Source organism: Homo sapiens, chromosome 7 (assembly GCF_000001405.40).
Source record: "Homo sapiens chromosome 7, GRCh38.p14 Primary Assembly".
Lineage (NCBI taxonomy): Eukaryota > Metazoa > Chordata > Mammalia > Primates > Hominidae > Homo > Homo sapiens.
Genome location: NC_000007.14, coordinates 110,505,395 through 110,526,201, shown reverse-complemented (window position 1 = coordinate 110,526,201; position 20,807 = coordinate 110,505,395). Strand labels below are relative to the sequence as shown.

Below are 20,807 nucleotides of genomic sequence, written 5' to 3'. Positions count from 1 at the left end.
AGTGCCTCTTCTCATAACACCAGACACCTATGGAGAAATGTCCCTCAACATCTCATACTTCAGTAGAAACACAGTGTACCTCATAATCAGTCACCCTATCCAGCTTGTCCAAAGACATCAAGAGGGCTACTCTTCCATTGGTCAGTTAATCCTTTTATTGTCCCTCAGAATCTGCTAAGATACTTCTGACTTCATAATATGAGTATTTTTCTTCTATGATGATGAAGACCAAAACATCCAAGTGGAAGTCCTAGGAAAAATAATCTCTGTTTTTAACCTATGGAACAAGTTATTATCATCTCTTCTTTCTGACTGAGTGACATGGCTGCCTCCCTTGCCTTCCCTGTCAAGTACCCAAATCTCTTGGAATGGGAACATTTACTGCAGTGGAGCTGAATTCATTGCTCTTGATCCCCTCAGATTGACTGTAGGACTCTGGGAAGTGGAGACTTCAGTGGCAGGACTTTTGTGGCATGATATTTATCTTCCCTGGGTGGACTCTTTAATCTCAACACTGTCCTTATTTCCTCTGGAGCTGGGACTGCTGAGTGTGGTGTTTGCATTGACCCAGGTACCTGTTCTTATGAATTAAGAAGTAGTATTTATCTAACTCTGACACTATATTGCTCTATAATCTTAGGTAAGTCCCATCATGTCTATGGACTTCAGTTTCCAGACATGAAACACAAGAGGCTTGGACGAGATTAGAAATCAAGAACTCGAATGCGTATGGTCAGAGCCACGAGGTGAGTACAACTCCAAGTTCTGATATTCACATTATGGTCTATGTAAATGGAAAACCCTGAGGCACAACTATGTGAACATGGCCTTCTATAGGTGTACATTTTGGGGGCCCTGTCTATAGGAAAGTCAGGCAGTAACACCACTGTACTAATAGGGCCAGGAGATAACAATCCAGTGTCATCAGAGAAGTCACATACATCCTACGGCAAGTCAATCAAAGTTTGAAGGTGCAAGAGTTTTCATTCTTTGGGGAATATTGTCTCTGGAATGCCTTCCAGGTCCTACGATATATGATTTTGTTGGTTTGTTGCTTTTTCAACTTTTGTTTTCCCTGCTTTTCCTCTGATGCATGGTGCTTTCTCTGATGGTCACAATTACTAGAAAGTGGTAAGGATGAAATGAATGGATACAAACAAGAGCTCAGTGGGGATAAACACCTTTCCTGCTCATGAGAGAGCTACAGTTCTGGTTTTCAAAGACACTAGCTGCAAAAGAATCACCTGGAGAACTTAATTAAAAATAATCAAAAAGCTTTCTCAGCCCACACCTACTAAATAAGCATCTCTGGGGTTGTAGGCCAGGAAGTTGTATGTTTTAAAGACTCCCTCAAGTGATTCTAAAACTTAGCCAGGGTTGGGAACCAGTGACTGTGCAAAAGTGTATGGGAGGAGCAGAGACCTTTTAGTGGGTCAACTTCTCACCTCCAATGTAAAGCTGCTCCGCCTCAGCAGAGATTAGATACTACAGCGTGAATAGAATCAGATTAAAGACAGCACTTCTTTCTCTTAGACAGCTGGCTTAAGAAACACAGATACTGACATGAACACAGGTTTGGATATGCTTAACAAACTATATTTTGTGGCATTTAGCTTTAATGGGTGACTGAGATTTTGGAAGCTGAAGATTGGTTTAGGATTAGCAAAAGTGTTATAAATGCTCAAGTAACTGCAAGTGCTTCAATTAAAGTCAATTAAGTTCCTTTTGGGCCTCACTTTTTTTTTCTTTTTGTAAGTTTCTAGTTAATCTAGTTGAGATTTGATTCTTAATAGGGTATATGCAGACTTGCACTGAAAAGAAAATGTTCCTGTTCAGATAAAAAATCAGCAGAATTCATTCTTTTACCTTTTATATCTGGGTCTATATAGCACAGGTGAATTGGGTACAGGGCCATACTGCTAGCCCAGGAGTGTTCTCTGGAGGGTATCTTGGTGGTAGATAAACATCAGCCTATTTATGTCCCTTACCTCATGGCTTTCCTCTGAAGGGTGATTCAAAGTGGCACTGCTAATTGTCCAGAACCACCTCACAAAATGATCTGTAGTTGTGGTATCGTGGGAAAAGTGTGGAAGAAGGGAAGAGACCACTTATTCGACCTTGAGGAGATTATTTCCTATCTCTAGGTTTCATGTTCCTCACGTGTGAAATGAAAAGGCTAGTTCCTTTTCAGTGTTTCTTCTTTTTTATTGAGATCTTGCTCACGTATGGCTTTGTTGTACCAGTTAGGGGCATTAGCTAATGGCTGTTGGGTAGTTTTAAAAAATGTAAGCCAGGCCGGGCGCGGTGGCTCACGCCTGTAATCCCAGTACTTTGGGAGGCCGAGGCGGGCAGATCGCGAGGTCAGGAGATCAAGACCATCTTGGCTAACACGGTGAAACCCCGTCTCTACTAAAAATACAAAAAATTAGCCGGGCGTGGTGGCGGGCGCCTGTAATCCCAGCTACTCGGGAGGCTGAGGCAGGAGAATGGCGTGAACCCGGGAGGCGGAGCTTGCGGTGAGCCCAGATAGCGCCACTGCAGTCCGGCCTGGGCGAAAGAGCGAGACTCTGTCTCAAAAAAAAAAAACACAAACAACAACAACAACAACAAAACAGTAAGCCAGCTCATTCTATACGTATTGTTACTTTCTCAGGTTAACCCTAGATGATCTCTAAGGTGTCTTTCAGTTTTAAAAGAGCAATATCTGTGACCTTATATACTGAATGTTGTGATTTTATAGCTTAGGCTTCTGCTGTATAAAATAGATTTTCCGCTGTATAAAATAAATGTGGAGATGGGTAGAAGTAAATTTTCATGAAACTCAGAATTGGATGCTTAGAACAGATTCTTCCTGAGAGAAGGAATTCTTTTTGCCCTGAATTTCCCTTCCTCTCCTTTGGGGGGAATCTTTTAAATTCTCCGAAATATAGAATATCTAATGTTTTACTTTCTGACTGGATTACATTTAGCCGTTACAGTGGCTGACCAACTTCCAAACAGAAACACTTTCAAAGGTGAAAGTTGACAAAGTATGCAAACATATGGGAGGCTGAACTTGGCCCAACAACTTATCCAGAAACTCCCCCTTGCCTCAATTAATCATTGACCTGAGGGCCTCTTCTCTCTGTTGTGGAGAAAACCCCACCCAATGCTTTGTTTGAATGACACACTTTGTTGAGTAGGTCTGTTTACAAGGGAGCTAGCTCTCCTGGAGGGCAATGTCACTGTTTACACGTCTGTTTTGACAACAGAGAGCAGACATAAAGCGCTTACGTAGAGTTCAGTCTTTTTTTTTTTTTTTTCTTTTGTCCAGAAATGATCAGTTTCAAGGCAAACAAACCTATCAGCTTCTACTGTGGGTAAAAAAACTGATCTTAAACTGCCAAAACCTTAAAGTTCTCCCTTTAAATCTAAAGAACCATGAATAATCCTTTTTGAAAGATGTTGTGCATGAACAAAGTGCTGTGCTCTTTGAGAGTGTGATCCAAAATACAAAAGGTGTTATTCATAATACCTCTTTTACTGTAAAAAAATGCATGCTTGCTAACTTGGGCTTCAGCTGTTGTTAAAAGAAAACCTGCAGATAGAGCGAAAGGGCAAAAGGGTGACATCTGGCATAACAGACTTTCTAAGATGGTTTTGGCATACAGCCTGCATTAAACAGCAGAGGCTAAAAAAAAAAAAAAAAACAAAAAAAACTATTGAAATAAAGAGAAAAAAAATGAGGACAATACAACATTGACTTGCAATCTTTAGCAAACTTATTTAAAACCAGTGCAACCATTTTGTTGTTGTTGTGACCGAAAATGGGCCATCACCTCTAATATTGGCTCTGAAAGAGGAGAATGAGATTGTGTGATATTTTCTCAAGTGGAGGTGGTGAATTCTTGTCATAAATTCAGAGACACTGTACACTTGACTTCACCTTTTCACCTGGGTGTGTAATGCACAGAAACATCCGCATTATCATGGGTTCTCCTCTGCTTGACTTGTTAGGATACTTGTTAAACATAGTGCATCAAGTGCTGCTTGAGGTAATAAAGAATATATTTTATCTTCGAAACAACAGTGGCATGGAAATTATGATTCCTGTAGCTTGAGAAGAAAATAATATACTGCTTGATACAAACAACGGACAAATTAGGATAAAGCTTCTAAATCCTGTAATTACCCAAGACACTGAAAGATAAGAATCACTGTAGAGAATTACCTTTGCAGGAAGCAGGTTTAAGACTCGCAATTTCATGGGCTTCTATTTTGCTTAAACTATAGTATTTTGCCTGCATCTGCTCAGCTTGGAGGTGAGTGGGTGAGAGGGAGGTAGGAGTATAGCTATTGATTCTGGATGATCAATAACCTATTGTTTGACAGCTCCAAGACGGTCATTCTGCTGGATTCCGAGTGAGTGAATCCTTTGGTTAGTTCTGATCTGAGCAGTCTCAATCAGTTTGTGCTTGTTGCTTTGATATGCATGCACATTTGGGAGGTGACCAAGCCATGGCAACAATTCTGTTAAAAATCAGCCTTTGTGTTTGGCCTTGGACCCTATTCAGTTACACTGGAGCTTGAACTTTACTGATGTAAAAGACTTATGCCTCCACTCTAGTTTCTCACATGGAGATGAAAGCGAGAATATTATCCACGGTGTGACCTTGATCCGCACATGGCTAGATCTCCGTGGGAGTTTGGCATGTGAACGGGGGACACAATATGGCCTTTGAGAGTTGTTTATAAATAGAATCTGTGTTGCCTTACATGATTTATAAAGCCGTGATTCCAAAGATTGAGTAATATTGGTTGTTGGAGGGAGAGGGAAAGTAAACAGTAGTGACAAATAACTAAATGCCACTTTTATTTACCAGCTATATAAAAATTTTTCTAGGGTAGGGTTCCTCAGCCCAGACATTAAACTGCATGAAGTTTTATTCCTAATTATTCATTAATTCTAAAAGTAATAATGTGGACAGCACTATTTGGTTATTTTAAGTCAAGGAGAATTGCAAATAAAAGGAAAAGGTGTTAAATGAAAGGAGAATGGGATGCTGAGAGCTTCATTTAGAGGGGCTATATCTTGAGCAACAATGAGGAATGCAATTTTCTTGAGTGTGAGGTTGACCTGATGATAAAGGACCATGGATTTATTTTTTTCTCTTATTTATCTATAAGAGTGGTTATTCGTTTTATGATTTGTCTAGTGTTCCAGGGCCTTACCTCTGCTCTGTCAGACTGGGTTTGGATATACAAGCAGTAGATCCAAAATGGTAAAGAATCAGTCAGGCATGGATGGATGAAAATAGTTGAGAATTAAGAAAGAAATAGAGAAGAATGACTGAAGACAGAGGCTCTGAAATCAGATTGTGTTTCTAATCCTAATTCTGCCACTTACTATCTCTGTGAGTTATTGTGCCCTAGAATTCTTCTTTGCAGCATGGGGATAATGTGGATAGATATGGTGAATTGGTACTCAGATATAATTCTAATCTCCTTCTGATCTGCCTTATATAGCGTTGAAGACTAAAAATGGTATTTCTGAGCTTGTTTGCTTCTTTCCATGAAGGATTAATGTTTACAGATATTGTTCTTATGTCATAAACAATTAGAAAAATGGACAAAACATTTAAAAAACCTGTTTTCCTAATTTAGACAGTAGCCACTTTAGAGTCTGAGAGAAGGAAAGCAAATGGGGTGAGTCTTACAATTTCCCTAGCTTACCGCTTGACAAGACTCCCAGGCCACAGTGTTGGGAGGGGAACCAAGGAAAGCCTGGTGGCCTTACCCAATTGAGGAGGTAGAGTTAGGTACAGGGAGGCAAAGGCAGCTATACTTTGCAAGGCCAAATCTAGAAAGGAGAACGTGTTTAGGGCTTTCAGAGGAAGCACAAGATCCAGAGGAGTCCCCTTAGTTTTTGACTGAATACTGATTCGTGTAAACATGAGGTGAAATTTCATGAGACTGAAAGACAAAAAAACCAACACTTGGAAGTTAGTAATGATGGAGACGACAGGCCATCTGGAGCAGTTGCCACCATCACACTTACTGCAGCAGGGAAGCGCAGCCGGGGCCGCATGCTCCATGGAGCTGGCGGGAGCTGGGGACAAGCAGGAGCCCTGCCCCTTCCCTGCTGGGGCAGGAGCTCCCCAGCTGCCACTGCAGCCACCCAAGTCATGGCTGTGGACCCAAGCACCCCTGTGCTCTCAGGTCTGGGAGAAGGCAGCAGCCCCACCCTCCCAGATGCAGGTGCATCCATTCGCCTAAACCGTGGTTGCAGACCCAGGCCTCGTGTTCCATGGAGCAGGCAGGAGCTCCAACCCCAACTCCAGCTGCAGCCACACAAACCAGGCTATGGACCCAGGCATCCCTGCACTCTTGGGGCATGAGAAGGCCCCCCTGCCCTCACAGGTTTGGAAATGCCTGCTCCTGTTGCCTGGCTTCTCCCTTCTGTCAGCCCCCACTCCAATCTTGGAGCAAAGTCAGAGCTGAGTGAGCCTGGGTGCTGTCATGGCCTGGCCAGGTGTGCACACACTTGGGGCAGTGCTGACACACCAGCCCCTGCTGCTTTGGCCCCCTCCGGATTTTGAGTGCTGGTGAGCATACATAGGAAGCTGATGGAGGGCTGAGGGCAGCTTGGTGCTGGCCTACAAGCATCCCTTAGCACCCCCAGCCTGGGTGCCATAAATGGCAGCAGAAGGCAGACAGGTTCCTGGGTGAAAGAAGGCAGGTCCCTAGTAAGGTTCCACCTTCAGTCCAGGGAGGTCCTGAAGGCAGGGGGCTGGGCTGTCAGTCCCATGGACTGGAGTGGGAATTTGTGATGCCATTTCCAGGCCTGCCTGTGGCCACCCATGGACCAATCTGCGCATACTCCTCTCCGCTGAGGCCTACAAAAGCCCTGGGTTCAGCCAGAGCCGAGCAGACATTGGGAAGACTGGCTGCCAAGAGAGACTACCCACTCCATGGCCTCCTCTCTGCTGAGAGCAGCAGACATCAGATGACCAGCTGCAGAGAGGAGATACCCACTCCAGGGCCTCCTCTCTCCGGAGAGCTGCAGAGACGACAGGATAACCTGCCTGCTGAGAGGAGCTACCCACTCCAGGGCTTCCTCTGAGTTATTGTCACTCAATAAAGTTCCTCTGTCTTGCTCACCCTCTACTTGTCTGCATACCTCATTCTTCCTGGGCACAGGACAAGAACTCAGGACCCACTGAATAAAGCTAAATGAGCTGTAACACAAATAAGGCTGAGACATGCCCCTTGCTTGCCACGTTGTGGTTGAAGAGAAGGAAAGAGGAGCTGTGGCCCTTCAAGGAACCAAGACCTGGGAACTCCCTGAGCCAGGGCTGTGACTCCCTCTGTGTGGCCCTGTGGTTCCTGGCATCTCCAGGCTTCTGAGTGCCACTGTGTTCCCTGGTGCCAGCTGTGGAAGCTGCTTGTGGTGCCCCTGGTCCAGCTGCAGCCTTGTGGAGAGCTAGCGCCCATGCTGACACCTGGAGCTGCCCGCCCCATTGCAGCAGCTGGCATGTCTGACTGCATAGTGGCTGGATCCCACTTATATTCCACTTATAAGTGAGAATGTGCTCACACACCCATTGCTGCTCCACACAGTCTCCCTTGACAGGCATGGGATCCAGGCTGATAGCATGAGCTAAGTGCAGCCTACCAGGCTGAGTGGGTGGAATGAGCCTAGTGGGCCTGAGCAAAACTTGAGGAAGGTCACCACTGGCCACAGAGCCTTCTGGCTAGAAAAGTGACACCCTAAAGATCCTGCAACAGTAGGCCAAATAAATCCAGGAGTATATAAGACTAGCAATACCCTGCATTTCTTCCAGCCAGGGTCGCTAAACTTCATAAAACATGAGCCATTGAATAGAGATCTCAGGAGACACATAATCCCAAAGGGAAGACATGTGAATGCCAGAGAAACAATAACAACAACAAAACCCCCAAAATAAGCAATTAAAAACAAACAAGACTTAAAGCCACAAAAAGATCAATCTAAAACTGAAAGGCGCTTTACTGTAGGCCAGAACAAAGTTGGACAGTCCTTAAAACGATACAATAAAACTCAATAACTTTAAATTCAGAATTTCTGCCAGGTGCAGTGACTCATGCCTGTAGTCCTAGCACTTTGGAAGGCTCAGGCAGGCAGATCACTTGAGGTCAGGAGTTTGAGACCAGCCTGGCCAACATGGTGAAACCCTGTCTCTGCTGAAAAAAAACACAAAAATTAGCCAGGCATGGTGGCACATGCCTGTAGTCCCAGCTACTCAGGAGGCAGAGGCAGAGGTTACAGTGAGCCAAGATTGCACCACTGCACTCCAGCCTGGGTGACAGACCAAGACTCCATCTGAAAAAAAAAATAAAAATCACTATTTTTGGCATCTGGTGAAAAAATTTCCTGGCATGCAAGGAGGTAGGAGTGTATTACCCATTACCAAGAGAAAAATCAATAGAAACAGATCCAGAAGTGACAGAGATGATGAAATTGACATAAAAGGACCATAAAACAGCTATTATTTATCTTATAAATTCTTCAAGGATATAAAAGGAAAAAAATAAACATTATTAAGAAGTAAATGAGAATTTGAAGAAGACCCCCAATAGAACATAATGCATTGAAAATACAGCAGTTGAAATGAAGATACACTACAGAGTATTAGTAGCACTTTAGACAGGGCAGAAAAAAATGGCCAGTGAATTTGACAACATAGCAGTAGATACAGTTGAAAATGAAGTATGGGGGATGGGGAATTGAACAAAATTTTAAAAGGCATCAGCAACCTGTGGGAAAATATCAATGTGTCTGACATACATTTAATTTGAGGCTCAAGGAGAAAGGGTAATGAGGGGAAAAGATTGGGCAGAGGGAAGAAGTAATATTTGAAGAAAATGTTGGCCAAAATTTGTTTTCTTTAACTTTTATTTTAGGTTCAGGGGATACATGTGCAGATTTGTTACATGGGTAAATTACATGTCTCTGGGGTTTGGTGTACAAATCATTTTGTCACCCAGGTAATGAGCATAGTTACCTGATAGGTAGTTTTTCAACCCTTACTTTCCTCCCACCTTCCACCCTCCAGCAAGCCCTGGTGTCTATTGTTCTCCTTTTTAGTTTGTAAGTACTCAATGTTTAGTTTCCACTTATAAATGAGAATATGTGGTATTTGGTTTTTCATTTCTATGTTAATTTGCTTAGGATAATCGCCTCCAGCTACATCCATGTTGCTGCAAAGAACATTATTTTGTTCTTTTTTATGGCTGTGTAGCATTCCATGGTGCACATACCACATTTTCTTTATTCAGTTCACTGTTGATGGGCATCTAGGTTGATTCCATGTCTTTGCTATTGTGAATACTACTAAGATGAACATATGAGTGCATGTGTCTTTTTGGTAGAATAATTTATATTCCTTTGGGTATATACCCAGTAAAGGGGTTGCTGAGTCAAACGGTAGTTCTGTTTTAAGTTCTTTGAGAAACCTCCAAAGTGCTTTCCACAGTGGCTGAACTAATTTACATTCCCATCAGCAGTGTGTGAGCGTTTTCTTTTCTCTGCAACCTCGCCAACATTTGTTATTTTTTGACTTTTAAAAAATAGCATTCTGGCTGGTGTGAGATGGTATCTCACTGTGGTTTTAATTTTCATTTTTCTGATGATTGGTGATGTGGAGCATTTTTTCATACACATGTTGGGCACATGTATGTCTTCTTTTGAGAAGTGTCTGTTAATGTCCTTTGCCCATTTTTTAATGGAGTTATTTTTTTGCTTGTTGATTTAAGTTTCTTGTAGATTCTGGATATTAGACCTTTAGTTTGCATTTTTTTCCCCATTCTGTAGGTGGTCTCTTTACTCTGTTGATAGTTTCTTTTGCTATGCAGAAGCTCTTTAGCTTAATTAGGTCCCACTTGTTTATTTTTGTTTTTGTTGCAATTGCTTTTGGATACTTCATCATAAAATCTTTTTGCCAAGGAATATGTCCAGAATGGTATTTCCTAGGTTTTCTTCTAGATATTTCATAGTTTTGGGCCTTATATTTAGATCTTTAACTCATCTTGAGTTGATTTTTCATATGCTGAATGGAAGGGGTTCAGTTTCAATCTTCTGGATATGGCTAGCCAGTTATCCCTGCACCATTTATTGAATTAGGGAGTCCTTTCTCTATTGCTTATTTTAGATAACTTTGTTGAAGATAAGATGGTTGTAGGTGTATGGCTTTATCTCTGGGTTCTCTGACCTCTTCCACTGGTCTATATCTCTGTTTTCATACAAGTATCTTGCTGTTTGGTTACTGTATCCTTGTAACATAGTTTGAAGTTGGTGATATGGGAGTGGGGCCAGGGAAGTGCTGGATAGAGAAGGGCAGCGTCCCTGTAAAGGGCTCCACCCTCAGGCCCGTGCCTGTGGACCTAAGTGAGAACAGGCATTTCTGTTTTCGTGCCCAAATGTTGCGTTTTCCAAGACTACTGTGGCCCACCATGCCTCCCATCCTGTGCCCATATAAACCTGAGACCTTAGTGGGCACACACACAAGCAGCTGAACATGGAGAGGAGCAGACTGTCAGACCTGCAATGGTGAAACGCTGTGACAGAGAAAGAGAGAAAGGAAGGACGTCTGGATACCAAGGGGATTTCAGCTGCGGGAAGTCAGAGAAGAGTCTGGCCGCTGAGTGGCCCGACTCCAGGGGAAGACCACCTTTCCACTCCATCCCCCACTTCTGGCTCCCCATCCATCTCACTGAGAGCCACCTCCATCACTCAATAAAACCTTGCACTCATCCTTCCAGCCCACATGTGATCTAATTCTTCCAGTACACTGGGCAAGAACTCAGGCTGTCACACTGGCCCCCTGCCCTTGTGATAAGGCAGAGGGTCTATTGAGCTGATTAACACAAGCTGTCTGCAGACAGCAAAGCTGAAAGAACGCACTGTAACACACACCCGCTGGGGCTTTGGGAGTGGTAGACACCCACCCCAGATGCAGCCATGGGGCTAGAGCCCAAAAGCACTCCCCACAGCTTTTGCATCTGCCCATCTGCATGCTTCCACTAGGGATTTGAGCAGCAGAGCAAGCCACACCTCTATCACACATTCTGCGAGGGGAATGAGGGAACTCTCCTGTGATGGCTCCAGCTTTATTCTTTTTGCTTAGAATTGCTTGCTCTTTTTTGGTTCCACATAAATTTTAGAATTTTTTTTTCTAATTCTGTGAAAAATGATGTTGTTAGTTTGATAGGAATAGGATTGAATCTGTAATTGCTTTGTTCTGTATGACTGTTTTAACAATATTGATTCTTCCTAACCATGAACATGGAATGTTTTTCCACTTGTTTGTGTTATCTCTGATTTCCTTCAGCAGTGTTTTGTAGTTCTCCTTGTAGAGATCTTTCACATCCCTGGTTAGCTGTATTGCTAGATATTTCATTCTTTTGGTGGCTAATGTGAATGGGATTGCATTCCTGATTTGGTTCTCAGCTTGGATGCTGTAGGTGTATAGAAATGCTACTGGTTTTTAGACATTGATTTTGCATCCTTGAACTACTGAAGTTGTTTATCAGTTCTAGGAGCCCTTCAGGCAGAGACTATGGCATTTTCTAGGTATAGAATTATATCGTTTGTGAAGAGAGATAGTTAGACTTCCTCTATTACTATTTCGATGCCTTTTACTTCTTTCTCTTGCCTGATTGCTCTGGCTAGACTTTTCAGTGCTATCTTGAAAAGGAGTGGTGAGAGTGGACATCCTTGTCTCAGAAATCACAAAGGTGACATTACCACTGACCTCATAGAAATATAAAAACCCTCGGAAACTATTACAGACACCTCTATGCCCACAAACTAGAAAACCCACAAGAAATGGATAAATTCCTGGAAATATACAACCTCCCAAGATTGAACCGGGAAGAAATGGAAGTCCTGAACAGACAAATAATGAGTTCTGAAATTGAATCAGGAATAAAAAACCTACCAACCAGAAAAAGCCCTGGACCAAATGGATTCACAGCCAAATTCTACCAGACATACAAACAAAGAGCTGATACCAATCCTATTGAAATTATCCCCAAAAACTTGAGAAGGAGGGACTCCTCCTTAACTTATTCTATGAGGCCAGCCTCATTCTGATACCAAATGAGACACATAGGAAAAAAGAGAACTTCAGGTCAATATTCCTGATGAACATAGATGCAAAATGCTCAATAAAATATTACCAAATCAAATTCATCAGCACACAAAAAGCAAATCCACCAGGATCAAGCAGGCTTTATTCCTGGGATGCAAGGTTGGTTCAGTATACACAAATGAATAAATGTGATTTATCCCATAAGCAGAACTAAAAACAATAACAACTATGATCATCTCGATAGATATGGAAAATACCTTCAATAAAATTCAGCATTCCTTCATGTTTAAAACCCCCAAGAAACTAGGCATCGAAGCAACATACTTCAAAATAATAAGAGGCATCTATGACAAACCCACAGCTACCATCATACTGAATAGGCAAAAGCTGGAAACATTCCCCTTAAAAACTAGCCAAAATTCTTTTCAAGATAATGATAACTTGAACTCATGGATCCAAGAAGCTCAAAGAATCGCAAGCCTAGTAAAAATGCATATGGCTACACAAAGGCACAAAATAAGCAAAATTTTTTAAAAAATGTGATAGTGGCAAAATCTTAAAAGTAGCCAGAAAATATACCTGTAAAATGAAGGCAATATTACTGTAAAATGAAGGCAAAATAAAGATCTTTTTCAAACAATTGGAAGCTCAAAGAATTATTTGCTAGCAGACCTGCACTTCAATGAATGTTAGAGGAATTTTCTCAGGCAGAAGAAAATTGGTATCAGATAAAATTTGGGTGGATGACAATAAAGATTGTTTTAAATTCATGGTAGAAATCTCTTAAAAGATAAAAAAATTAAAAGCAAAAATAGGATTGTATTGTGGGGTTTATAACACATGTAGAAGTAAAATTTATGGAACACTTCACCCAACAGCAGCACAGTCACATTGTTATAATACACATGTAAATCAGTGCATGTGGAAAAAGCCACAGCAATTTCAATGAAAATTGAATGAGAGGGAGGAAATAGAAGTATACTGCAATAATGGCATAAACTATAGCCGTTATTTTTGAAGATAGACTGTAAAAATATAAAGGTGCCTATTTTAAACTATATAGTAAAAACAAACCCCTAAAACAAACAAATAAAAATATGTATAGAAAATAAGCCACTAATGGAGATAGGTAGAATAATAAACAAACAATCCAAAAGAAGGAAAAGAGAGAAAAAGTAACAAAGAACAGATGGGACAAATAGAAAAACAAATGGTGAAATAGTACATGTAAAATATCTGCATTTATAATCATAATAAAAGTAAGTGGTCTCAGCATTCTAATTAAAAATAGACAAAGGATTGTCAGATTGGATAAAAAAGTAAGACAACTATATTCTATCTAAAGGAACCCATTTTAAATGTAAAGAGAAAAATAGATAAAAAGGAAAATAATGGTGAAAGATACATTATGCCAACCATAGCCAAAAAAAAAAAAAAACTGAGGTATCTCCTGTAATAACAAAATGGACTTAAGAACAAGGAATTTTACCAGAGATAAAAAGTGACATTTCATAATTTAAAAAGGGTCAATTAAATATAAACGTGTAACTTTTTGTTATAGTTTGGATATTTGTCCCCACCCAAATCTTATGTTGAATTCTAATTCCCAGTGCTGGAAGTGGAGCTTGTCGGGAGGTGTTTGGATCATGGGGGCGGATCCCTCATGACTTGGTGCTGTCTTTGTTATCGTGAGTACTCCTGAGATGAGATCTGTTTTTTAAAAGTGTGTAGCACTTCCCCTACCATGCTCTGTCACTCTCTCTCTTGCTCCTGCCTTTGCCATTTGACATGCCTGTTCCCCCTTTGCCTTCTGCCATGATCATAAGCTTCCTGAGACCTCCCTAGGAGCTGAGCAGAGGCCCACACCATGCTTCCTGTAAAGCCTGCAGAACCATGAGACAATTAAGCCTCTTTTCTTTATAAATTACCCAATCTCTGGTGTTTCTTTATAGCAATACAAGAATGGCCTACCTAGCACACTGTCTAATAACAGAGTTTCAAAATATGTGATCTAAAAACTGACAAAATGGAAATAATAGAAAAAGAAATAAGGGACATAAAGATTGATAATAAATAAAATTGATTTTAATAGAAGATAAACAATTGACTAAAATAAAACTTAATGAATTTACGTAAAAGCTACTGGAACTAATAAGTGTTTAGTAAGATCAATGGTTATAAAATGAATACACAAAAATCAACAGTGTTTTAATAGACATTTTAGCAATGAATAATTTTTAAAATAACATTTATAATGGTATCCGAAAATATGGGATGCTTAGAGAAAATTTAACAAAACGTGCAAAAACTGTATTTTTTACACTGAAAGCTATAAAACATGGCCAAGAAAAAATAAAGAAGATGTAAAAAAATGGAGTCCTCTACTAAAATCTCTCCAGATTGATTTAGAAATTCAACAAAATCACAATAAAAATCCAAGCAGATTTTTATTGGTGGAAATTGACAAGCTGCTTCTAAAGTTTATGTGGAAATGCAAAGAATCTAGAATAATATAATTAATTGTAGTAGTCAGAATTATACCTTCCATCACCACCTTCCCAAAAAAAGATGTCCATCCTCTAATTCCTGGAACCTGTGACTGTATTATCTTACATGGGCAAAAGTGACTTCGCAATTGTGGCTAATGATATGAACCTTGAGACGGTGAGATTGTCCTGGATTATCCAGATGGCTCTGTGTATATGGGTTCTTAAAGGCAGGAGACCTTTCAATGTTGCATCAGATAGATGAGACATGAAAAGGAGGAGGGATTTGAAACATGGGAACCAACTTTTGCTGGTTTTGAAGGTGCAGGATGAGACCACAAACCAAAGAATAAATGTGGCTTCTAGGAGCTGGGAACAGCCCTTAACTGAAAGCCAGCAAGGAAATGGGATCCTCAGTCTTTACAAGGAATTATATTCTGCCAACAACTTGCCAATGGGAAATAGTTCTGTTTTTTGTTTTTTTTCCCTAGAGTTTCCATAAAGGAACACAACCATGTGGACAACTTGATTATGCCCTACAAAACTGTAAGTTAAATTTGTGTTATCTAATATTTTTAAGCTGCTTTAAAAAGAAACAATAAAAACAATATAATCATGTTCTAAAAGAATGTCATATTTGGAAGGCTGACATGATCTGATTTCAAGATTTACTGTGATACTAGATTAATCAATACAGAATGGTATTGGCATAGGAGTAATAAATGTCAGTGTTTCTTCAAATTCTTGCTCTCAGAATCCCTTTACACTCCAATGAAGTGTCAAGTTTTTGTTTATATGAGTTATATGGGTTATATATGTTGATATCTACCACATGTTTTATATTTAACTTTAAAAAATAAATAAATTTTAAACATAGAATTTTATCTATTTATTTTAAATGTGCACTTTAACTATAATCTCATTGTTGAACTATACATTTTCATAAAAATAACTGTAAATTCCCAGATGCACATCCAAATTAGTGAGAAAAGTAGCATTATTTTATATTTTTGCAAATTTTAAAAATAGCTCTTTATTATCAGCTGGATTCTCATTTCTGTTTCTGCATTACATTTGCTGTAATATCACACATAATCCTCTAGAAAAGTCCATCCATTGAACATTTGAGAGAATGAGAGAGAAAAAAGTAAATAATGTTTTAGTATTATTATGAAAATAAATTGTAGTTCAAGGACCCTTGAAAGGATCTCTGGGAGTCAGACCACACTTTGAGAACCACTGATCTGGATTAATGGAACAGAATATAGTCCAGAAATAGACCCATTAATATATATATTCAACCGATTTTGAACAGGGATACGAAGCCAATTCAATGGAAAAAAGGATAATCTTTTCAACAAATGGTGTGAAACAACTGGACAGCATATTCACAAAAATGAACCTCAAAATTTCCTTTATATTACATTCAAGCTGAGGCGGGCAGATCATGAGGTCAGGAGATAGAGACCATCCTGGCCAACATGGTGAAACCCCGTCTGTATTAAAAATACAAAAATTAGCTGGGCGTGGTGGTGTGCACCTGTAGTCCCAGCTACTTGGGAGGCTAAGGCGGGAGAATGGCTTGAACCCAGTAGGTGGAGGTTGCAGTGAGCCGAGATTGCGCCACGGCACTCCAGCCTGGGGACAGAGCGAGACTCCATCTCAAAAAAAAAAAAAAAAAATTAACTCAAAATTTATCAGAGATTTAAACATAGGAGATAAAACCCTAGATAGAAACATAGATAAAACTTTGTGACCTTGGGTTAGGCTAAGGTCTTTTAGAAAGAACTCAGAAAAAACATGAAACATAAAAAGAAAAAAAAAGATAAATCATCCAAACTTTTGCTCTTTGAAAGAAAATGAAAGGACGAACCATAGACTGGAGCAAAATATTTGTCAATCATTTATATAACAAAGGACGCCTATCTAGAATATATAATCAACATTTTCAGAAGAATACTAAGAAGACAAATAACATGATAAAAATGAACATAACATTTGAACAGATACGTCACACAAAAAGTTATGTGACCGACATATGAAAATGCCATAAAAATTCGTCATCATAAATCACTAGGAAATTGCAAATTAAATTGGAACATATCACACACTGACTAGCTTGAATAGGGGAAGAATTACAATATCAAGTTCTGCTAAGGATATAAAGTTTCTGCAAATCTCATACATTGCTGATGGGAATGCAAAATGGTATGATTCCTTTGGTAGATAGTTTGACAAATTTTTATAAATTTAAATATACAAACATATGTGTACTTGTGACCCAACAATCCTATTTCTAGGAGTTCATTCATTACAAATGAAAACATATGTTTATGGACTTATAAGTGAATGTTCATAATACTATATTCTTGGTAGCCCCAAACTGGAAACAATCTAAATGTCCGTTTAGGTTAATGGATAAACAAATTGTGTTATTTCCATGTGACTGAATATTACTCAGCAATAAAAAGAAACAAACTACTATTGATTTATGCAACAGCATGTAAACTTAAAAGCCTTATGCTAAGAATAAATGCCAGACACAAGACTGTGTAAGATATAATTGTATTATATAATATTATGGAAAAGCCAAAACTGTAGTGATAGAAAGTAGATCTATGGTTGTCTGGGGCATGTCATGGCAGGCAATAATTGACTGGGAAGGAACAATGATTGGGAAGGAACACTGGGAAGGATTATCCTTTTTTCCATGGCTTGGCTGTGTCCCCACCCAAATGTCACCTTGAATTGTAATAATCCTCACGTGTCAAATGTGGGGCCAGGTGGTGATAATTGAGTTATGGGAGCTGTTTCCCCCATACTGTTCTCATGCTAGTGAATAAGTCTCATGAGATCTGATGGTTTTATAAAGGGGAGTTCCCTTGCACACGCTCTCTCTTGCCTGCTGCCGTGTACGAACTGTCTTGCTTCCCCTTCACCTTCTGTCATGATTGTGAGGCCTCCCCAGCCATGTGGAACTGTGAGTCAATTAAACTTCTTTCCTTTATAAGTTACCCAGTCCTGGGTATGTCTTTTTAGCAGCGTGAAAGCAAATGACTACAATCAGGGAACATTTTAGGGCAGTGAGCGTGTTCTATGTTTTGATTGTGTTCTACATACATCTTGAAAATTAGCTACATAACTGTAATTTCTCAAAAGTCATTGAACTCTACATTTATAATGGGAGAATTTTGTTTTCTGGTAATTACATACTAAGGAGGTTAATTAAAAAGCACTACAACTCTCATTCTTGCAGCTATGGGTCCGAATAAGTTACAATGAACTGTCTTGAGGTTTGAAAGGCTAAAGTGAGGCAGATGATGTATTTTTGCAGCTTTTGCTTTTTTTTTTTTCTGGTAAAGAGGTAGTAGAGGCATTTAGCTTGTTCTGTGGTAGGATTAAGCAGAGTTCACCATGTCTAGTCATTTGCTTTGTAGAGGTCAAGAGGCAGGACATGAAACATCCATTCTGCTAGTGCAGATGTAGCTAGCATGGAACATTCATAAGCTGGCAGCTATAGCAGCTTCTGGTTGATAGAAGTTCTCTGATTGTGGCAGCCACCTGGCTGTTGTGACTTCCTAACCAGTGTTAGTTTTGGCACCAATGGCTTTCTGATCTTAGAAGAGGCAGCATTGATTTTATGGTGTGGCTTTTGGAACTGTTCCCTTTAAACTCAACTCTGAATCTGTTTCTTCAACTCTTACCATGATTATGCAAGCTATATAATATTCTATAATGAAACAATTCTTCATTTAAACTAGCTAGAATGGAGTTTGTTCTTTAAGTGAATGCTAATATACTGGCTTGTAGGCATATTATGAGAAATCAATGAGATTAGGTATGTAAACAACTTAACAGCACCTGGTACTTAGTAAAAAAAACCTCTATAAATATTTAATGTTATTGTTACTATCTAATGCTAGGTATATGCATAGTGAGCAAACCAGCATGGGAGTATAAAATTGAGAGTTGACTTGATTGCTCATTTATTCAGACAGAACTGAAATGATGTAATGGTTTGATGGCTCTCTAGATATGCCTAGTTTTTCAGTTTATGCTAATTTGCCTACATGATCTGGCCCTTCCCCATCCCTAATCCCATCGTCTATTGCTCTCCAGCTTGCTTATTGGAATCCAGACAAACTGGCTTTCTAATGCTGTGTTTCAAATAAGTTAAATTTATATCTGCCTCAGGGAATGAATGCAGAATATTAAGGTAAGAGTCCTAAAGATCTCACTCGTGCATCTTAAGTTCAGGATGCAGATGTCTTATATACATAATCTCCAGAAAACCTGGAGATATGATTGTTGGTATTTGATAAATCAAAAAGAATAAGAAATGTTCCGGAGGCAGAAAATAGGCAAATCCTGCTCTATTTTTTTTAATAGGAAAAGAATAATTTGGAAAATTGTGGAGTAAGAATCCTAATGTAAATATATAGCAAAATGATTTAATAACTTTTAAATGGGTTTTGAGTTATTGGAAATAACATATTAGTAAGAGGCAGTATTAGTTTATGGAGAATAAGTTCAATCAAGTGAAATGTGCTGTTTCTTTTAAAGGATTTCATGACTGTCAGATTAAGGAACTACTGTAGACACACTTTAGTAAGGAATTTGACCAAGTTATAATATTTTTAGGAATAAGACTGAGAAATGTAAGCTGCTTATGACACAATGCAATGACCTATCTGACTCAGTGCATCTAATGTGGGACCAATTAGTGAGTGCCCACTGGCAGGCGCGACCCCACCTGAGGCTTTGAGACCATTCCTGACCCAAGATATGATTTAGGTCAGGAACTCCACGACTTAGCATGCAAGTCAGCGTGATCCTTCATTTTCTCAGATATCTTGCTTGAAATCTTGATTTGGGGTCTTGAAGTCATCCTTGACATCTCTGTCACTTCTTACATTCAATTATCTATTAAAATTGATTAAATTTGACTTATCCCAATCATCTCTACCACTATTTCTTAGTGCCTATCCTCATCTTTGTTCCCCTATGGCAACAGCTTTCTAACCATTCTTTCTACCACATTTGCTCCACTTCTCCCCACTAAAACTCCACATTGTGGCCAGCTATCTTTCTGAATATCAAATCAGACCACGTCACTTTCTTGATTACATATCCCAAACAAAAAAGTTGAAATTTCTTCATAACATGACCCAGACCTATATTTAGAGATTCATTTTCTGTGATTGCCTGTCCTCACTACTCACTTTCAAGAACACTTGAAGTTCTCTTGTAAGCTGTGCTTTGGGCCTGCTATTTTCACTGCCTCTTCTCTTCTATATCCTCACTACTTGATGAGACTTTGTTTTTTAAGGCCACGGAAATTTGAAAAACAGTGACTCCACTTATCATGGACAAGTCTCACAATTCCTGGGGCATCATTCACTTGGTATTTTATGTGAACGATATACTGCACAGCCCCTGCAAGCAAGCTCTTCATTTAGACTTCAATGCAAATGATAACCCCTGGAAGACTGAAACTGGGTGGCTGTGAAGATAATGTGTGCAGTTATATGCTGAAAAAATTTCTAATTGTTTATAAATGTAGGAGCATAGGGGAATCTTGTTATAGTGCCCCTATGTTCTCCCCTCCCCTCCCCTTTCAAGAAGTAACTACTATTACTTGTTGGGTTATGTTGTTTTAGACATATGCCTAAATGTATTTTCATATGTATAAATACATACTTATGTAAGTGTACACATGAAGTACAATATTTTTCTTACGGGAGAAAGAACATAATACACATTTTGTTCTGTAACTTGCCTTTCATGCTGTTCAGTATGCCTTGGACAATGTTGCTGGTCAATATATATAGATCTGCCTCATTTCTTTTTAAGTTGAACTCATTTGTCAGGATTCAGTTCAAATTGAGTCTATGTTTTTGCCAAACTCTTGGCAGCTCTGTTACCATTTTTGTGTGATTTCTTAACACTGCATATTCTTATATAATGGTACTTATTAGAATGAATTATAATGATGTCTTTACAAGTCTATTTCATTCCTAAATAAACTCTGATATCCTCAAATAGACCCAGGTTCTTGGAACATTTCAGTGGATCAAAATAATTTCTGTTGAGTGACTTCATTATATTGGAGTTTTCCTCATAAGTCCAGTACTAGATAGATAAGGTGAGAAAAACCAGTATCATACTCCTTAGACACCTCCTTGGATTGAAATGATTAACTCCCACATCT

At 39.4% G+C, this 20,807-nt stretch overlaps 1 long non-coding RNA gene across 1 annotated transcript in view, besides 2 other annotated features; it reads left to right on the top strand.

Moving 5' to 3' along the window:
- Positions 1–20,807, top strand: part of LOC105375451 (uncharacterized) — a 173,872-nt gene that overhangs the window by 8,516 nt on the left and 144,549 nt on the right. Inside the window, exons 2-3 of the long non-coding RNA XR_927863.3 lie at positions 641–746; positions 15,088–15,142. This is a non-coding gene — a long non-coding RNA (uncharacterized LOC105375451). The remainder of the gene's footprint in view (positions 1–640; positions 747–15,087; positions 15,143–20,807) is intronic.
- Positions 2,619–3,220: an enhancer, noted in NCBI's record as "NANOG-H3K27ac-H3K4me1 hESC enhancer chr7:110163039-110163640 (GRCh37/hg19 assembly coordinates)". NCBI's record gives its function as "activates a minimal SCP1, AML or CMV promoter by ChIP-STARR-seq in primed H9 embryonic stem cells {active_cell/tissue: H9 hESC(primed)}" and the evidence as "EXISTENCE:reporter gene assay evidence [ECO:0000049][PMID:30033119]".
- Positions 3,221–3,822: an enhancer, noted in NCBI's record as "NANOG-H3K27ac hESC enhancer chr7:110162437-110163038 (GRCh37/hg19 assembly coordinates)". NCBI's record gives its function as "activates a minimal SCP1, AML or CMV promoter by ChIP-STARR-seq in primed H9 embryonic stem cells {active_cell/tissue: H9 hESC(primed)}" and the evidence as "EXISTENCE:reporter gene assay evidence [ECO:0000049][PMID:30033119]".